Source organism: Homo sapiens, chromosome 11, assembly GCF_000001405.40.
Source record: "Homo sapiens chromosome 11, GRCh38.p14 Primary Assembly".
Classification (NCBI taxonomy): domain Eukaryota; kingdom Metazoa; phylum Chordata; class Mammalia; order Primates; family Hominidae; genus Homo; species Homo sapiens.
In genome coordinates, this window is record NC_000011.10 from 5,775,412 (window position 1) to 5,795,444 (window position 20,033).

Here is a 20,033-nt window from a genome sequence, read left to right on the forward strand (position 1 = left end):
TGATTTACAAAATTTTTAAGATAATAGGTACATAAATATTTCATTATAAAGGTTTTTATAAATGGAATACATTTAGCTGGAAGGAATTATACCACCAGGCAAGAAATAGCCTTGGTGAAGAAAAAAACAGAACTCTTTGTCTCCCTAGTAAATAGGGTTTTTTTTTCATGATTTATATTCTGGTTTAAATACCATCTCTCTGTGACTCTCTTACTCTCTCAAGGTTAGAGGATCATTTTCTGTGCTGTTTCAGCACTTGTGCAAACTCTCTTATAAAGCTCCTCTAAACTATAGTTTAATTGAATGTATATGTTTACTTGAGAGATTAAATTTTCATTTACTCTTTTATTCATCTCCTACTAAAATGTTCCAGTTAACATGATCACTCCTTTTCTTTTTTAGTTTGAATAGACTATTTGACTCTATCACCCTGCTTTCCGTTAAGATGATTAGCATAGCACTGAATTCAACACATTTTTATTAATATTTCACCCCTTAGCTAGACTGTGGGCTTCTTTGTAACAAGGAGAATGTTTATATTTTTCTAATGGTTAATATCTAACATAAGGCCTAACTAATGTAGACTCATTCATCTAGTCATTTAATGAATATTTGTTTTATTTATACCTTTGAGTTGCATTTTGTCAGAGCCTGAAATACAAAGACAAATACATACCTAGTGCTTTCAAATACAACATGTTGTAGTATACAATGAACAGATGTGTAAACAAATAAACTTATTATAAGAGTGTTGTGATAATATAGTGTGTGTGACAACCAGGAAGAGGTAATGATAAGTTCTATTTTAAGATTTAGCTGAGTTGATAAAAATATTCAGAAATATGGGAAATGAAATAACTAACAAATGAAGCATGAATGAATGAATCAGTGAATCAATGATTTAATCAATCATTTCACCAATTGGTTGACATTTAACTGGGAAAGCCATACCATATACCAACTAGCTCCTGCACTGACTTCTGGTGTACGCAAGCCTTGAGGTAAATAAGACTTGTCTGTCCATTCTAATATATACATAAAAATATTTCTCAAAATTAATTCATAAACCTAATTTTAGCTTCAAAGACTGACTGGGCTGGAAAATGTTCTATAGGAAAGATTATCAACATAGACAAGACACTTAAGGACTCTTTCAAAGTTTAAGAATATATCCAAGATGAATATATTAGATAAAAGTTGTGTGAATTCATACCAACGACTTGATTAAAACGGGCAATGTAACTTTTGTCTTTCTGTGGCTGGCTTATTTCATTTAACATGCTAATTTCCAGCTTCATCCATGATGCTGCAAATTACAGAATTTCATCATTTTTTATGATGCCACATTTTCTTTATCCACTTCTCTGTTGATGGACACAGGTTGATTTCATGTCTTGGCTATTGTGAACAATGTTGCAACAAACATGGGAGTGCAGGTATCTGGTATCTCTTCAACATATTGTTTTTCTTTTTTTGGATATATATTGTTGTTCTCATTTATATGTGGGAGCTAAAAAGGTGGATCTCAAGGAGATAGAGAGTAGACTGGTGGTTACCAGATGCTGGGAATGGTGGGAGGAAGAGAGGATGAAAAGAGGTTAATTAATAGGTACTAAAATACAGTTAAAAAGAATAAGACATAGTGTTCAATAGTACAGTGGATAACTGTAGTTAACAATAATTTATTACGTGTTTCAACATGGCTCAAAGAGAATTTGAATGTTTCCAATAAAAAGAAAAGATAAATGTTTGAGGTGATGGATATTCTAATTACCTTGATTGAATTATTACACATTTTATGCATGTATCAAAATATCATTTGCACCTCCCAAATGTGTAAAACTATTATGTATCAATTTAAAAAATTTAGAAAAATAACACGTGATTTTTAAAAAAACACCATTCTACTTTTTACTTCTATGAATTGAACTAGTTTTAGCCATTCTGTAAGGTTTATATATATTTAAAACATTATGTTATATATGACATATTTAACTTTATGTGTCAATTTAAATAAATTGAGTTAAACTCATTTTTTAAAAACTGGCAATAGACAAAAATTAAGGGAAAGGCACTGAGATATACATCCAGAATGGGCTATAAATTTCCCCAAAACAGTTTCAGAAAACATAGACTGAGAGAGAAAATGTATGATACTACACATGAATAAATGTAAAATATCACACGTAAGTTTATTCTTTGTTATTTTTCATTTATCTTTCTTCCATCTGAATTAAGTTGCCTTGAATCAACCTGCACCCTTATCACCCTGGAAGAACTTTATGACACTCTTGCGTATCTGTTTTGTCTTTACTCCATAAACAATAGGGTTTAGAGTTGGGGGAAGAAGAAGATAAAGATTAGCCACAATGATGTGAAGAGAAGGGGGAATTGTGTGTCCCCCAAAACGGTGGGCAAAGAAAGTGAAGAATGCTGGAACATAGGTGATGATGATGGCAGATATATGGGCAGTGCAGGTGCTGAAAGCCTTCTGCCGAGCATCTGATGAAGAGAGGCTGATCGCTGCCTTGAGGATCAAAGTGTAAGACAAAGATATACAACAAATGTCAAACACTCCAATCAGGAGAGCAACCATTAGACCATAGATTACATTGACCTTGATGCTGGCACAAGATAGCTTTACTACAGACATGTGGTCGCAGTACGTATGGGAGATAATATTGCTTTGGCAGAAAGGCAAACGCTTAACCAAGAATGGGAAAGGAATCATCAGCAATACACCCCTCAGGAAGGTGGCAAGCTCAGCCTTGGCAATGATAGGGTTGGTGAGTGTGGTAGCATAACGCAAAGGGTAGCAAATGGCTACATAGCGGTCTAGAGCCATGAGCATGAGCACCCCAGACTCCACACCTGTGAACCCATGAACAAAGAACATCTGGGCCAAGCAAGCATTGAAGTTAATTTCTTTGAGACTGAACCAGAAGATGCAGAGTGCATTGGGTAGAGTGGTGGTGCAGGTAAGGAGGTCAATGAGGGAGAGAGCATGGCCAAAAAAAAAATACATCGGATGATGTAAGGACTCCTCATAATAAATGAGGTACACAAGACCAAGATTCCCCACAAGGAAGATGATGTACATTGTGCAGAGTGGGAGGGAGATCCATACATGTACTCTTTCCAGACCAGGTATTCCATTAAGAATAAAAGATGGAGGAGTCACATGAATTGTTGGAAACCAGCATAATGAATTAAATAGAGGCATTCTATTTTTCCAGAAGTTTCATCCTGAAGAGAAGGAATTATGAAACAAATTTCATTCAAATTTTCCTTGCAAATACAAATTCAAATTTAGAATAAAATTAAGTTTATAATGGCACCAACAATTATACATAAGTGACTATGAAAATATACAATGTATTGAATAATACTGTATTCCAGATAACATTTTAAAAGTTTCATAAACAGTCTAAATGTAATTCCATAGCCATAAGTAAAAAGTTGTATTTTTTTTACCACAAAATAAAAGTAGAAACTGGGGCGCAGAAAGATTGAATAATATTAAATGTCACACAACTAGATTCAGGAACAGAAACAGTATTCATATATGACTTCAACATTCATGCAGTCTTTTTACTGTGCATCCCGGCTTCACAGAGGACATATCCTATGACAGCATGTGAAGCACGGTCCAAAATTTCTTCAGTAAATTAATGTTGTGTGCCAATACACAATAGGAAGATTATGGTTATTTCTACCAAATAGCACATTATTCATATTTCAGTTTTTTCTATACTAACTGTGTGACTTGATAAGCTTTATGTCACTCTCCAAGCCTCAGTTGCTCATCTTAAATGGGAAGCAGGTGATACCTACCTCAAAGAGTTCTGAAAAATAATCAGAAATTTATTTACTCTTAGGTTAATATTCTGATGGATTAGATATGCTGATTATTCAAAATGCAGGTATAGATTCAAAATGGATATAAAATACAGGACTAATGACCATAAATGTCAATCTGATTTGATGGTTACAAGAAGGAAGAAGAAAGAAACCTCTTTTTCTCAAGTACCCTATAATCCTTCAATGTCATTGAGATTATCTATTTTCTTTCCATATCTTCTCTTTTTATATAATTCTCAAGAAGCATATTATCTAGACTCTCACTTTATTCTCTTTTTGGGAAATGTTTTTACTCTTATGACCTCAAGTATAACCAACATGAAGATAATTTTCAGATAATTACTTGTATAAATAAGTTATGCCACAGCTGTTGAGTCCTTCTAAATGCATGACGACTATTTTCATCAGAAATATCCATAAAATTTTACATTTATTATGTCTAAGACTACACTTATTGCTTTAATCTCTACCTGTGCCCAAAATAGACTTTACCTCTAAGTTCTGTCTTTTGGATAATGGTGTCATTATCTACTACAATACCTAAACTAGTGTATTTATGATCTTCCCTGGTATTTCTCCACCTCATCTTGGATATAATTCATTTACAGCTCAAAGGGTCCAAATTGTTACTCCACCCAGGTCACATCAACATATCTATTTTCTGTAGTCTATCTTCAGAAAAAAAACTTTTAAATCAGAAAATTTCTTATATCAGCTCTTTCTTTCTAACACCACTTTCAGCGTAAAGACCACCTAGCCACATCCATTTATTTCTTGGCATTGCCTCTTTAGTATTTCATAAGTGAAATTTTTCCTGTAGTACAATTTTGAAGATGTTTTAATCCACTGCTTAATAATCTTCAATGTCTTCCCATTACTTTGAGAACAGGGCTCAAATTCCTTGGTATGACATTTAATAAAAGGAAATTTAGGTCTTATCTTTTCTTTCCTGTTTTATTTCTTTCCATTTTCTAACCACTTATAAGTATCCTGGCTTAAACAATGCATTATATAGTCAATGTAGTTTAGCATTTCGGGTTTAAATACTTGCTAATCCCCCCCAGATACATATACTTAAAGTCTATGTTGACTTTTCTCAATTTCTTTCATTTATTTGCAAATATCTCTGCAAAGTAAAGAATATTATAGCTGAAGTAAATTAGAGACTAGAAAAATAATAGAAAAGATTGACAAAAATAAGAGTAACTTTCCTGAAAACACAAAATGAAAATTAACAAACATTTAGCTAGATTAACTGAGGGGGGAAAAAAGAGAAAACTCAAATAAATAAAATGAAAATGAAAAAGGAGACATTACAACTGATACAACAGACATACAAAGGTTCATAAGAGACTACTATGAACAATTATACACCAATAAATTGAATAATGTAGAAAAAATGGATTATTTGACTCAGTAACATACCAAGACTGAAAGATGAAACAGAAAAGAAAGCCCAGAAAAAAGCCCATATATCTACAGCCAAAAAATTTTCAGCAAAGGTGCCAAGAACACACAATCAGGAAAGACAGTGTCTTCAATAAATGGTGTTGGGAAAACTGAATATCCACACTCAGAAGAAAAAAATTAGACCCTTATCTCATACCACATACAAAAATCAACTTAAAATAGATTAAAGACTTAAATGCCTGATGCTTATCTTAGTAACACTGAGATAGGATGTTACTTTCTTTGAAGAAGACTGTGGTTTCCAGAGTCCAGAATGAGCTATTGCCGTTAAACACCCTGATTTAGATACAGGATGTTTAACTTGCTTAATCAAGGCTATTAGTGATTAACTCAGAATGAAACATAGGTTTCCTTAGATCAGACTTTCACATATGCTCCATTAAAGCAAATCCCTTATAAACAGAATTAATGCAGAAGTTGTGGACTAACATGTAGTAGTTCAGTGATTTATTTTCTCATTTGTTTGATTTTGTATTTGTTTTCCTATTTCTTTGTTTTCCCTGTAGCAAGATGAGGCTTCATGTTTCTAGCATGTGACCTCTAATGCTCCTGCTTCTTAAAATTTCTTCCTTGTCCAGCATTGCAGTCATTGTGAAGGTAAATAGTAAGAAAGTTGTGTGGGATGATTTATATTTTTTTCTTTCAAAGGAGAAGGTAATTTGGTTACAAATACTATGCGGACTCACCCTGAGCCTACCCGACTTCTTTATTCTTGCTTGTGGTTCTGGGGAATTAAAAAAGGCAACAGAATGTAGGCACGCATTTGAGGTATAATAATAACAAAACATACCACATCAAGATATGCTGCAGCTTACGACCTTGTGTCAATCACAATTGCTTGTCCATCCTTGATGACAATGAGTTCCATTACCTGATGTAGATGTCCACGCCTCCAGTATCTGGTGAAGGGTGGAGTGATTGATCCTATCACTGTTGCATCCTGTGCGGCCTCCTCATCCCACGCTGGGCAGCCATTTGACACAAAATACATGTAGCATCCATGGTTGCCTCTGGCTGTTTACAACAGAAAACAGGCTCCTTTGAATTACCACTTTATCCTAACCTCCAGAAAATGTGGATGAATCAGGAACTGCTTAGAAGTTAGGAAAGCCAAGGAGACTTACTTTTTCACTTCCTTTTAACTTCCACGCTATACTTCTCTAGTGATGGCTTGGAACAGTATTTTTTCAAGGAATTCAGGAACCAGTACACAGAATAAAATCCTATCAGGCATCTGAACGACCTATCCTTGATTCTCTGGAGAGGAATGTCAGGATAAAGCTGGATCCAGAAAAGAGACTTCTAGATTCTCTTATGCTATTTTATCTTTTCTGTTGTTGCTCTAAAATGTTTTCCCAGAAATGTCAAATCAACCTTTTAATGACACAAAATGCTGTAATTGAATCTGAATGTCTCAAGTGTATGGACTCCAAATTAAACTGAACATATTTCATTTGTAAAATTAAAAAATATATATATATTATCGACTGTATCTGTGCCAGGCAATGTATCCTTTGGCACTTAGCAGAAGGACTTTCTCCATCTCTACTCTGGTGTTTTTAGGTTTACCTTGCACATAAATAGCAGATTTGCATATCAACTCCAATATTTATCCACACGACTAGACAAAAAAAAGTAATAGTAGTACTATTTGATTGTCTATATTTACCTGTTTAATATATTTGCTTAATATTTGAATTAACTGGTGAATTTAATCACACTCTTATAATGCATCTGCTAATTAAATAGTATCTAATCACTATCTAATCAAGACTCTTTGTTCAATAGCTTGCCAAAGATACAGAATTTTGTGCTGTCTACACTAAATACTGGTGAGGCACAACCCCATCTCTCTTAAACCAAACCAGAATTATTATTTGAAATTCACCTTTCTTCCTCCTTGCTACCTTCACATTTTCTCCATTTTTATGATGATGATAACTTGGGCACCAGTGCTCAAACAATTTATATTTATCCTGTCTCCTTACTGACCTGTGAGCTCTTTTAGTCTATGGGCCAAATCTGCCACCTATTTTATCCCATGAAAAAGGACAGTACCCAGCTTAAAAAAAGAATACTCAACAAATTGGAGTTGTATTGACTGACTCCAAGTTGTATGACCCAACTTAAGAAAAGGGAGGGACTGGGAAAGGATGGGCTAGTGACTTGAAGGGAAAAGTTTGTAGCTATTTGTTTTTTCCTGATTTAAGAGACAGTAAAGTTCTTACTGTCCACTTCTCTGACCCTGGCATTACAGCACATATTAAAAAAAAGAAGAAGAATAAATATAACGAGAGGAGTTCCTTAAATTCTAAAGGAGATTTTGAGGGCATCTAACCTGTACCTTGTCCACCAAGAACACATATCCCTTACAAGTACTATCTCTGCTTTGAATGTGGAATGAACATACTCTTCCTAATTTTCTCAGACTAAGAAATCACCAACAACATTTTCTGCAAGTCAGTGTCTTTGATCCTTATGATGACACAAACTGGCTAGAACAAGACAAGGCTTTGTCACACAATAATGTCTGGAAGGCAGAAATCTCTTACCCACAATATAGCTCCTGAGGAGAAGTGATGTGAAAGGTGTTCATGCCAGGGAGAGGGCCCAGGAATGCATGTGATGGCAGGACCCTGGCTTCAGCTTATAGAGTTTGGATCAGAAGTGCTTAGTCCAGCCGAGTTCCCACAGGAAACAGGCATAATCTCATATGCTCGAGAGTCTCAGTGTGAAACTGGGCTTCGGAGACCCCAGAGACCACAGAGCCCTAAGGGAAAGATTCCTATATGTGAGGGAAAAAACTTCTGTGACTATAGCTGGGCTCCAAAAAAGAGCAGTCAGGAAAGCAAATCCCATGCCACAGCTATCCCACCATTAGGACTAGAAGTTGGCAATTCGTGTCTAAGGCAATTAAAAATAAATAAAAGATGTATATGAGTGTGATATCATAAGTGTGTTGTTATTTATTATTGTTAATTCTAAAATAGTAAATGCTTATTAGTCGAAAAAGAAAAAAGTAACAATAAAGGCACTTCTGAATAGTACATACTTCAGATACTCAGAAACACTTGCTATTAGGATTTTGTGTGTTTTTATTTCCAGGTATGTGTAAATTTTTTTTGAAAATCACAGTTTTCAGAATATTCATAGTTTAGAGGATATTTTATCACGGTTTTTTCCATTATGTCATGAATATTTCACTCTTTCACTCCTCTGCAATATGTCAAAGTCAGCAAAGCTACTTTATGGCTATAAACTTTCCTTTACGTATTTTTAAAATTTAAAACATTGAGTTAATTTCCAATATGTTACAACTTGATGGTGAACATCAACACAATCATGATTAATTCCATTGGAAAATTTATAGACCTGAATAGATATTGAGTAAAAAATATGCTAATTTTAAAGCTTTTATGTTGCTAGACTTTTATCCCCCCAGAAAGATTGCACCAAAACTCTACTGTATGCTCTTGAACACAATCCAAGTATATATGCCACCTTATTCAGTAAGGTTCTCTATGAGTAACTGGTCTCCCCCAGCTATAGGTGCCAGATAATGGAAAGTAAAATAGAACAGGCCATAAGTAGATGTAAGTGGGACCAACCTTACCCATAGTCAGAATTGAGGGTCATTGTTACGTTGGATTTCTTGGTGTGCTGAAATTACGATTTAACTTCCCGATAAACTACCTTTCTGAGCGTGAAGATTTTCTACTTAACATTCAGTAATTTCAGGGCCAGCTGTGGTGGCTCACACCTGTAACCCCAGCACTTTGGGAGGCGGAGGCGGGCAGATGGCTTGAGGTCAGGAATTCAGGACCAGCCTGGCCAACATGGTGAAACCTCAGATCTACTAAAAATACAAAATTAGCAGGGCGTGGTGGCAGGCACCTGTAATCCCAGCTACTCGGAAGGCTGAGGCAGGAGAATTGCTTGAACCTGGGAGGCAGAGGTTGCAGTGAGCCAAGACTGCACCATTGCACTCTAGCCTGGGCGACAAGCAAGGCTCCGTCTCCAGAAAAAAAAAAAAAAAATTCAGTAATTTTGATAAGCATTGTAGTTTCTCAGCCTCCACTTTTTAAATATGAACAAACAAGTTATCAGTAACCTAGTTTATTCAAATCATTTTCTTTAATTATTCATTCAAGAAAATAACTATCAAGAAAATTAAAAGAAAGATGCAGTTATGAGCTAAAATAAAGCAGAGGACTATCTGTATTCCTCCTGGCAAGTGTGTCAATAGGTGAATGGATAAAGAAAACATCATATATATATATATAATAGAATATTATTTAACCTTCAAAAGAAAGAAATTCTACCATTTATAACAACATGGATGAACCTGGAAAACTAAGTGAAATAAGCCAGGCATAGAAAGATAAATACTTCATTATCTCACTTACATGTAGAATTTTTAAAAAGCCAAATTCATAGAAACAGAGAGAAGGGTGGAAACAGATTAGAAGCATGTTAGGGGGTGAGGGAAATGAAGAGATGGTGGCCAAAAAATATAAGCTTACAGTTATCAAATGAGTACATTATAAAGACATAATGTGCAGTATGGTGACTAGAGTTAATAATAATGCATTGTATATTGAAATTTGCATAAAAAGTAGGTCACATATTCTCACAGTTGTATGTCCGGGTTTGAGTCTTCTATCAACAATTCTTCTAGGTATTTTGGCATTTCTTGGTATTTCTTAAAAATCACATTTTGAATTTGGTTCTTAAAAATTATTTCATAGTGGTTGGGATAAATTATTCTTTGCTTTAGCAGTTTTCTCTTTTAATAGCAATCATAAAGTCAGACATTTGACATCCTGAGGAGATGATCTATATCATTACTTTTATGTTTTACATTGCCTTGCCTTTTTCGTGTCCTTTTTGTGAGATTTTCACAACTTTATATTTCTTTTCTTGGATATTTTTGCTATCATTCCTTCTTCTCTGTTATAAATGTTATTTTCTAATTGTCTATAACTCCTTTCCTTTTTTGATTGGTCCAAAATATTCTCAGAAGTCTCTGAAAAAATATTGATACTGGAAACATACTTCAAGAATAATGAAGATGATGATACTGAACTAATGAAGAAGAAAATATAATCCCTACTTTGCTGTAAAGTGATTAGCATTCACATTCAACACTCATAAAATTATTTATATAATTATAGTAATTCAAATAGTATTTATTAGTTTTCCGTTATTGCAACCAAACTATAAACAAATCAAAAAGATTTCCAGAATTAATGCAAGGTGGTAATTATCTTGTAACAGAAAATTAAAGATATAACATTGATGTTTTATATGTGTGTGTGTGATTATATACATACACATTTACACATAAAATATTTTGAGGGAAAGGGCAGGTGACAGATATAGATACAGGTATTAAATTAAATCCTCACTGTGTGTAACAGAGTAGTTGGTAATCTATTAAAGTTTAAACATAGCTTGGAGTAAAAGACATAACCACCAAAAAGAAGAACAACAAAAACATACACATACACAAACAATATATATATATTTTTATATTTTTTTTATTATACTTTAAGTTCTGAGGTACATGTGCACAACGTGCAGGTTTGTTACATATGTATACATGTGCCATGTTGGTGTGCTGCACCCATTAACTCGTCATTTAACATTAGGTATATCTCCTAATGCTATCCCTCCCCCCTCCCCCCACCCCACAACAGGCCCCGGTGTGTGATGTTCCCCTTCCTGTGTCCAAGTGTTCTCATTGTTCAATTCCCACCTATGAGTGAGAACATGCAGTGTTTGGTTTTTTGTCCTTGCGATAGTTTGCTGAGAATGATGGTTTCCAGCTTCATCCATGTCCCTACAAAGGACATGAGCTCATCCTTTTTTATGGCTGCATAGTATTCCATGGTGTATATGTGCCACATTTTCTTTATCCAGTCTATCATTGTTGAACATTTGGGTTGGTTCCAAGTCTTTGCTACACAAACAATATTTTTAAGAGGCCATCACTAAAAAGGGACTAGATGGAGGACATTTTCAAAAGGAAAGTTTAATTTTTTTATGATGATGTTGTCTTTGTTGTTTTATTATGATTTGTATAAATATGCACATATTATTTATGCTAAAGTTAACATACTTCTGAAAGAAAAGAAAGTATATATACTTTGTAAACTATAGACAGTTTTCATAGGAAGCAAGAAAGAAATGTCTCACAGCTTAGGGAGGTGAGAGTATGTGCTCAAGACATATTATTTTAAATAAAAATGTTGAAGCATAGTACACAGGCAAAAAGAGCAGATATTACAAATAATAGGCTCATGAAATATCACTAAGTTGATACACCCTGCAACTACCATCCAGGTCAAGAACTAATCAACGGTGGTACCTCAGAAGCATCCCCCTCATTACCTGGTTTCTCATTCTCAAAGTTAAACATTATCTCAGTTAGTTTGGCCTACTTCTGAACTGTACATCAATGACAATATATAATATGTGTTTTTATCTCTTTCACCTAATACTATATTTGAATAGACCACAATTATTTATTTATGTTGTCTAATGTTGATGGACATTGGTGTGATTGCCAGCTTCTGGGTATTACAGGCATGCTTCAATTTACAACTTTAGAAGTTTTCTGGTTAACATATGTATGGGTTGCTACTGGATAGATATACAGCTGGCAAACTTGGGATAGAAGCAGAATAAACTCTAAGTGATTTTGGCAGGAAAATGATGAGCTAAGTAAGTTAGGACAGACATAAATGAACACGGCTCATGTTTTGCCAGAGATTTAAATTTTTTAAAAAGTTTCACTCCAGTGTTAGTGATCCAACCACTGTGCTGCAAATTTGTGTAGACTGTCATTTAGGAGAGAAGATGATGTCTGTGAAGATTAAATGCAGTGAACTTCGAAGTCCTCTATAGTAAAAAGGCTTTAAAGAACATGGAATAACATAAGAGAGGGTATTTACCTATTTGAACATGATGGTACCCTTTCCAAAGATGTAGAGTAATCCGAGTATCATAAAAATATTCCTGTGGCCAGATTTCTGGTGTCATTTAAAGAGCTCCCTATTGACTTGGTGATCTCAACCTGGCTAAGAAAATTCTAACATCTCAGAAGACTTTAAAAGTTATGAGAATTGTCCTTTCCCTTAAGAAAGAACCTAATGACACTTTCTCGTACCTGCCTGGTTTTCACCCCATACACAATAGGGTTCATTGTGGGAGGCATTAGTAGGTAGAGATTAGCCATAATAATATGTATGTGTAGAGGAATGGTGTGTCCCCCAAAATGGTGTGTAAAGAAGGTAAAGAAGGCTGGAACATAGGTGAGGACTATGGCACAGAAGTGGGCAGTGCAGGTGCTGAAGGCCTTCTGTCGAGCATCTGCTGATGATAGACTCACAACTGCTTGAAGAATCATAGTGTAGGAGATTGTAATGCACAGGATATCAAAGCCCCCAATCAGCAGGGCAACTATCAAACCATAGATGGCGTTAACCCTGACATTACCACAAGATATCTTGGCCACAGACATGTGGTCACAGTAGGTGTGGGGTATGACGTTGCCCTTGCAGTATGGAAGGCGCTTGGTGAGGAAAGTGGAAGGGATAACAAGCATCACACCCCTAAGAAAAGTGAGGAACCCAGCTTTAGCAATGACTGAATTAGTGAGGATGGTGGCATAACGCAGAGGGAAGCAGATGGCCACACAGTGGTCCAGGGCCATGAGCATGAGCACCCCAGACTCCATCCCTGTGAAGGTGTGCACAAAGAACATCTGGGCGAGGCAGGCTTTAAAATCAATCTCCTTGAGATTAAACCACAATATGAAGAGAGTGTTGGGAAGGGTGCTGGTGCACATGAGCACATCTGTGAAGGAAAGAAGGGCAAGGAAGACATACATAGGTCTGTGTAAGGCCTCATCACAGTAGATGAGGTACATAAGGCCGAAGTTCCCTGTAATAGCAATGCTGTACATGGTACACAGTGGGAAGGAGATCCACAAATGCACATCTTCCAAACCAGGGATGCCATTTAGGATGAATGAAGCTGGAGTTAGGCTGGTGCCATTTAGAAATGACATAATGACTGTTGGAAGTTCATTGTATAGCAGTTATAGCATTGCCTCTGTGAGCAGGAAATAAAAAAAAGAGTAATTTCAAGGAGTGACTGACCATCAGTCTTCTTTCCCATAATGGCTATTTTGTTTTCCTTGTAGATCAATGACTATATTTGTTCTATTATGTTTAATATGTGATATATACACTGTCTGGGTGTGTGCCTTAAGCATTAGGTGTTGACAGGAAAAACTGAGTCTAGTCAGTACATTTGGACCTGAATATCTGGGGTCTTTGTTATCATGTAGTCCATTCTCCAGGCCAACGTTGGCCATGAACTGAACAACTCTGTGGTCAAGAATTGATTAAATATTTGCTCTATTCTAGGTGCTCACCATCTTAGAGATCTCCGTTGTATTCTGAAATGTTAACAGACTTCATTAGTTCCTGTGGGCTTACCTTTCAAATTAAATCTGTCCTAATGGACATACTGACAATATTTTCAATCTAGTTTTAGCCCAAACTCCACCCTTTTGGTTTGCAGAAAACCTAAATACAGAAAAATATGAATCATCCCCTTGTAGCTGTAGTTTTCTTGAAGCGAAATCATAGAATGATCTTAGAGGCAAATAAATAATAATAATAATAATCCACTTTCTAATATCAGCAAAAGACCACTTGTTTTATAAGTACCATGATATATAGAGGATGAAGGATCATTAAAAATGCAAGAACTTATGAGAATCCAATGTTTTCCTAAGATTACAGTCTAGTCTAATTGACTCTAGAGTCAATTCAGTGAAAATAAAGATGCTTATCATCTTAAACAAAATAAATTGACATTCCCTTTAGAACATAGTGCTTTATATTCTACCCATATCAAAACTTCAGCCATAGAATCAAATATTTTTGAGGCTTAAAATAAAGAATATTTTTATCAAATATTTTTGAGGCTATGTAATCTCCAAAACTAAGTTTCTTTTGTATACAGAAGATGTTCAATACGTTTTTCAAGGCCCACAGAAGAACAGGCAGTGGTAGAACAAGGACCAACAAAACACTTCTGAATAGTAAGGGAGAGAATATTTGGTGTGATAGTGTGCTGTGAGAAAATAAGAACAAACTCAAAGTTATGACCACAGAATAGATGAAAATAGGCTTCACGGGTCTGAAGAAGTGGGCTATATCAGCCGGAATGTGTTGATTAAAATTTTTTAAAAGGAGCAAGTTGTGTGATGGGGGCATATCCCATATAGAAGGATATTGGAGGAAAACTAAGTAGGCTTTCTAATTTAAAAATATCAATATTGATATTTATAGTTCCTCCTTGACATATTGGAGGTGACCCACCTGTCACTTCAGGGATGTCACTATTGAAAATTTAAGGTTGTATAAAACTGGCTATCCTATTTTCATATGTGTCTTTTATAAAATTTTTATGTCCTTATTTTATGAAATATTAGGGCTGTATAAATGAACTCTTGTCACTTTTCTAATTGAGATATAATTCAAATAACATTACTATCATGTGAAATAGAGGCAACTCACTGAAAAGAAGACAAAACACAGAAAAGTATGGAATGAGGCTGTCATCTCTCTTTTTTTCAGATCACAGAAAAAATTCTTTTCTCTCAGAAATGCTGCTTTTAGCTTTCACAGCCAGAGGGAATAAATAGAATACTTCCTGCAAAGATTGTTTCAGTAATTGAAATGTGAATATTTTATCCAAAGTGAAAATGGAACATACAAGCCAGTTTGTCTGCTGCACCATTTTAAAAGCTAGGAGAATAACTCTTCTGACAACTCTCTTACTCATCCTCATTTCTCAGCTACTGTAATCTGCACCCATCCCTTTAATAAGAATAAAGAAATCTCAGTTCAGAAATCTGCTCACCCTAATGATCAGTGATGTTGAGCTTTTTCTCATATGATTGTTGGCCACATACGTGTTTTCTTCTGAGATGTGTCTGTTCATATCCCTTTCCTACTTTTTAATAGGTTGTTTTTTTCTTCTAAATTTAAGTTCCTTAAAGATCTGGATATTAGACCTTTGTCAGATACATAGTTTGCAAAAATGTTCTCCTATCCTGTAGGCTGTCTGTTTACTCTGTTGATAGTTTCTTTTGCTGTGCATAACTCCCATAGGAGGGAGAGAATCAGGAAAAATATCTAATGGATACTAGGCCTAATACCTGGGTGATGAAATAATCTGTACAACAAACCTCCATGACACATATTAACTTATGTAACAAACTTCCAAATCCTGCACATGTAAGCCTGAACTTAAAATAAAAGCTTAAACAAAAGTAAATCTGCTTACCCTGAAAACTACCGGAGTTCCTCAAGAAACTGAAGACCTATCCATGGATCAAGTCATATTTATGTCTATATGATCCTCTTGGTCCTGAAGGAGAAATATAATACCTACATTGAGACCTTGGGAGGCAAGTGGAGGAGGGAACATTTCTATTATCTGTCCATATGTGTGTGTACGTGCATGCATGCATGTGTGTATGTTGTGGATGTTTTATATTCTGAAGTTGAGTAATGGAAAACACTTGGTTGTTATTGTCTCTACTGTAGTCTCAGAAGAGAAGTGATTTCCCCGGTGAATGCATTTGTGTATGTGTGTATGTTTAGAATATGAACAAAAGAGAATTAAGAATCAGGTATATCTGGGTCCTAAGGATACTGGCTAAGCCAGTGGGAGCAGTCTTCAGAACTATTTTGACGTCATTATAGTCTGGGACTCCTGGGGACATAATTTTTTACAGGTACAGCAGAGATACATATGTCTGAAACCACTTGGAGTATCATAATTAAATCCTTTTGAGAGGCACACCTGCCTCTTTTTTCAAAACTTAGCACAATGTCATGCACAAAATTAGTACTGAAAAAGATGTTTTTAAAGAAAACTTAAATAATGCCGGTATGCAAACAATTGAGTTGTATATGTGAACTTTTATTTCATGTCTCCAATATATTTGCTTATTATTTATAACATTTTTATGAACATGATTTGGAATTATCTAGACATATTTTTCACTCTGTGAAAAATGAGTAATTTGCTTCTTTCTTTCCTATTTGTATGATTTTTTCTTGCCTTATTGCACTGGTTAAGATCTTCCTTCTATGCAATGTTTACCAAGAGTAGCAATAATGAATATCTTTGCTTCATTACTAAGGACTGGGTATAATGATGCCTACTGAGGGTAATGAAACTTAGTTCCAAATGATTATATAAAGACCTAGACTAATGGTACAGTGCAGAAGCATAGCTATGCCATAATAAAAAATAATATATTTCACTTAACAATGCCCTCTAGGTTCATCTATGTTGTTGCTTGTGACAGAATTTTCTGAATTTTTTAAGGCCAAATAGTATTCCATTGTGTACATATTCCATATTTTTAAACCCATTCATTCATTGATGGACACATTTTGACTATTGCAAATAATACTGCAATGAACACGAGGTTGCAGACATCTCATTAACATATTGATTTCAATTTCTTTGAGCATATACCCAGTGAGACTGCTGGATCATATGGTAATTCCGTGTTTGATTTTTTGAGGAACCTCTATACTGTTTTCTAAAAGAACTATACTAATTTAAATTCCCAACAAGAGTGTATAATGGTTCACTTTTCTCAACATTTTCATCAACAGCTCTTATCTTTCATCCTTTTGATAATAGCCAATGTAACAGGTGTGAGGTAATGTCTTATTATGGTTTTAATTTGCAGTTCTCTAAAGATTAGTGATGTTGAGCATTTCCTCACATACTTTTTGGCCACTTGTATGTCTTCTTTTGAGACATTTTTATTCAAGTCCTTTCTCTACTTTTTATAGGGTTTTTTTTTTGGCAATTGAGTAGTTTGAATTCCTTGTTTATTTTGGATATTAGTCCTTATCCAGCATATGATTTGCAAATTTTTTTTCAATCTGAGAAGTTATCTCTCTATTGGTATTTTTGGCTATACAGAAGCATTTTAATATAATCCAATCTCAATTGTTTATTTTTGCTTTTGTTGCCTGGTGCTTTTGGGGTCACAGTCATTAAATCTTTGCCCAAACCAATGTCATGGAGCTTTTCTCCTATGTTTTCTTTTATTAATTTAATGTTTCAAGTTTTATATTTGAATCTTTAATTTATTTTGAGTTGATTCTTGTATAAGAGACAAGCTAAGGGTTCATTTATATTTTCTGTATGTGGATATCAATTTTTCCCAATACCATTTATTGAAGACAGGTCCTTTTCTTTTTAAATGTGTGGTTTGCTTCTGGGATCTCTAGCCCATTCCATTGGTCAATGTATCTGTTTTTATGCCAGTACCATGCTGTTCTGATTACTATAGCTTTGCAATATATTTTGAAATTCTGTAGTGTGGTGTCTCCAGCTTTATTCTTTTTGGTCAATATTGCTTTGACTAATTAAGGTCTTTTATAGTTCCATAGAAATTTTAAGATTTTTTTCCATTTCTGTGAAGAATGACATTGGAATTTTTATAGAGATTGCATTGAATCTGCAGATTGCTTTGGGCTTTATAGACATTTTAAGAATATTAATTCTTCCAGTCCATGAACACGAGATATCATTCCATTTATTTATGTCATCTTCAATTTCTCTTTTTTAACTTTTATTTTAGATTTGGTGGTACTTATATTTCTAATTTTATACTGTTACTATATTTTATTGATTGTCATAGCATTATAATACATTTTTAAATTAGTGTAAGCACTGTCAATTAGGTCCTTCTTTAAAAAGATTCTTTGGATATCCTTTGTCCTTTGCATTTCCATAGATAATTTAGAATTAATTGTGTAATTTCTACAAAAAGCTGTCTTGGATTTTTGTGAAGACAATATTGAACCTATAGATCAATTTGAGATTCCACAAACTGCACTCATAGGATGGCAAACTTAATTTATAAATGTTGTATGTATTCTCATTGCTACACTGGCCAGCCACTCTCCTGTCTCTCTCCCTCTTCTTGGGCCCCCCTATTCCTTCAGGCACAACAATATTGAAATTAGGCCAATAAATGACCCTGCAATGGTCACTAAGTGTATAGTGAAAGGAAGAGTCACATACCTCTCAATTTAAATTAAAAAATATATATATAAATGATTAAACTTAGTAAGAAAGGCATGACAAAAGCTGAGATAGACCAAAAGCCAGTCCTCTTATGCCAAACAGTTATCCAAGTTGTGAATGCAAAAGAAAAGTTATTGAAGGAAATTAAAGGGATACTGCAATGAACACATAAATGACAAGAAAGCAAAACAGCCTAATGGCTGATATAAAGAAAGTTTAAGTGGTCTAGACCAAACCAGCCACGATATTCCCTTAAGCCAAAACCTAATCTAGAGCAAGGCATCAACTATTTTAATTCTTTTAAGCCTGATAAATGTAAGGATGTTGCAGAAGAAAAGTTTAAGTTAGCAGAAGTTGGTTCATGAGGGAAAGAAGCCATCTCCATAACACGCAAGTGCAAGTGTTGATGTAGAACCTGCAGCAAGTTATCCAGAAGATCCCACGATCATTGATAAAAATGGATTCACTAAACAACAGATTTTCAATGTAGATGAAACAGCCTTCTCTCTCTCTCTCTCTCTCTCTCTCTCTCTCTCTCTATATATATATATATATATATATATATATTTATTTATTTATTTATTTATTTATTTTGAGACAGAGTTTCACCATTGTCACCCAGGCTGGAGGGCAGTGGCCCGATCTTGGCTCACTGCAACCTCTGCCTCCCCGGTTCAAGTGATTCTCCTGCCTCAGCCTCCCAAGTAGCTAGGATTACAGGCTCCCTTGCCACGTCTGGCTAACTTTTTGTGTTTTTAATAGAGACAGGGTTTCACCATGTTGGCTAGACTGGTCTCAAACTCCTGACCGCAAGTGATCCACTCACCTTGGCCTCCCAAAATGCTGGGATTACAGGCATGAGCCACCGTGTCTGGCTGAAACAGCCTTCTTTTGGAAGAGCATGTCATCATAGAGAGGATAAGTCAATGTCTGTCTTCAAAACTTCAAAGAACAGGCTGACTATCTTGTTAGGGGCTAATGCAGCTGGTGACTTTAAGTTGAAACCAATGCTCATTTACCAATCCCCAAATCCTAGGGCCCTTAATAATTATTCTAACTCTATGTTGTCTTTGCTCTCTATATAGAACATCAAAGCCTGGATGACAGTACATACGTTTAGAGCATGGTTTATTGAATATTTTAAGCCCACTGTTGAAACCTACTGCTCAAGAAAAATGGATTCCTTTCAAAATATTCCTGCTCATTGACAATGTGCCTGGCAACTCAAGAGCTGTAATGGAAATGTACAGGGAGATTAATTTATTTTCAAGGCTGCTCATACAACATCCATTCTGCAGCACATGGAACAAGAAGCAATTGTGACTTTCAAGTCTTATTTATTTAAGAAATACATTTTGTAAGACTATAGCTGCCATAGATGGTAATTGTTCTGATGTGCATGTGTAAAGTCAATTGAAAACCTTCTAGAAAGGATTCACCATATTAGATACCATTAACAACATTTATAATTCATGGGATGAGGTCAAAATATCAACATTAATAGGGGTTAGAAATAAGTTAGTTCTAACCCTTATAAATGGCTTCGATGGAGTCAA

General features: G+C 35.0%; 2 protein-coding genes across 3 annotated transcripts; both read right to left on the reverse strand.

Moving 5' to 3' along the window:
• Nucleotides 1-753: 753 nt before the first annotated feature.
• Nucleotides 754-7,944, reverse strand: OR52N5 (olfactory receptor family 52 subfamily N member 5). Of its 2 annotated transcripts, NM_001385662.1 has the most exons (3): nt 7,884-7,944; nt 6,122-6,345; nt 754-3,246 (listed from the first exon to the last, which is right to left on the reverse strand). In NM_001385662.1, the coding sequence occupies exon 3, from the start codon at nt 3,221-3,223 to the stop codon at nt 2,249-2,251; it is 975 nt and encodes a 324-aa protein (NP_001372591.1). In that variant the 5' UTR covers nt 3,224-3,246; nt 6,122-6,345; nt 7,884-7,944; the 3' UTR covers nt 754-2,248. The 2 variants fall into 2 exon arrangements, with proteins under 2 accessions (NP_001372591.1, NP_001001922.2); NM_001001922.2 differs by lacking the exons at nt 6,122-6,345; nt 7,884-7,944 and having other exon boundaries at nt 2,223-3,256.
• A 3,115-nt stretch (nt 7,945-11,059) lies between these two features.
• On the reverse strand, nt 11,060-15,854 carry OR52N1 (olfactory receptor family 52 subfamily N member 1). The gene is made up of 2 exons (NM_001001913.2): nt 15,700-15,854; nt 11,060-13,449 (listed from the first exon to the last, which is right to left on the reverse strand). Exon 2 carries the CDS (start codon nt 13,403-13,405, stop codon nt 12,443-12,445), a length of 963 nt encoding a protein of 320 aa, NP_001001913.1. The 5' UTR covers nt 13,406-13,449; nt 15,700-15,854; the 3' UTR covers nt 11,060-12,442.
• Between the last annotated feature and the right edge of the window lie 4,179 nt (nt 15,855-20,033).

Coding starts and splice junctions, on each gene's coding strand:
- OR52N5 (NM_001385662.1), bottom strand. CDS start 3,223: ATGCCTCTATTTAATTCATTATGCTGGTTTCCAACAATTCATGTGACT.
- OR52N1 (NM_001001913.2), bottom strand. CDS start 13,405: ATGTCATTTCTAAATGGCACCAGCCTAACTCCAGCTTCATTCATCCTA.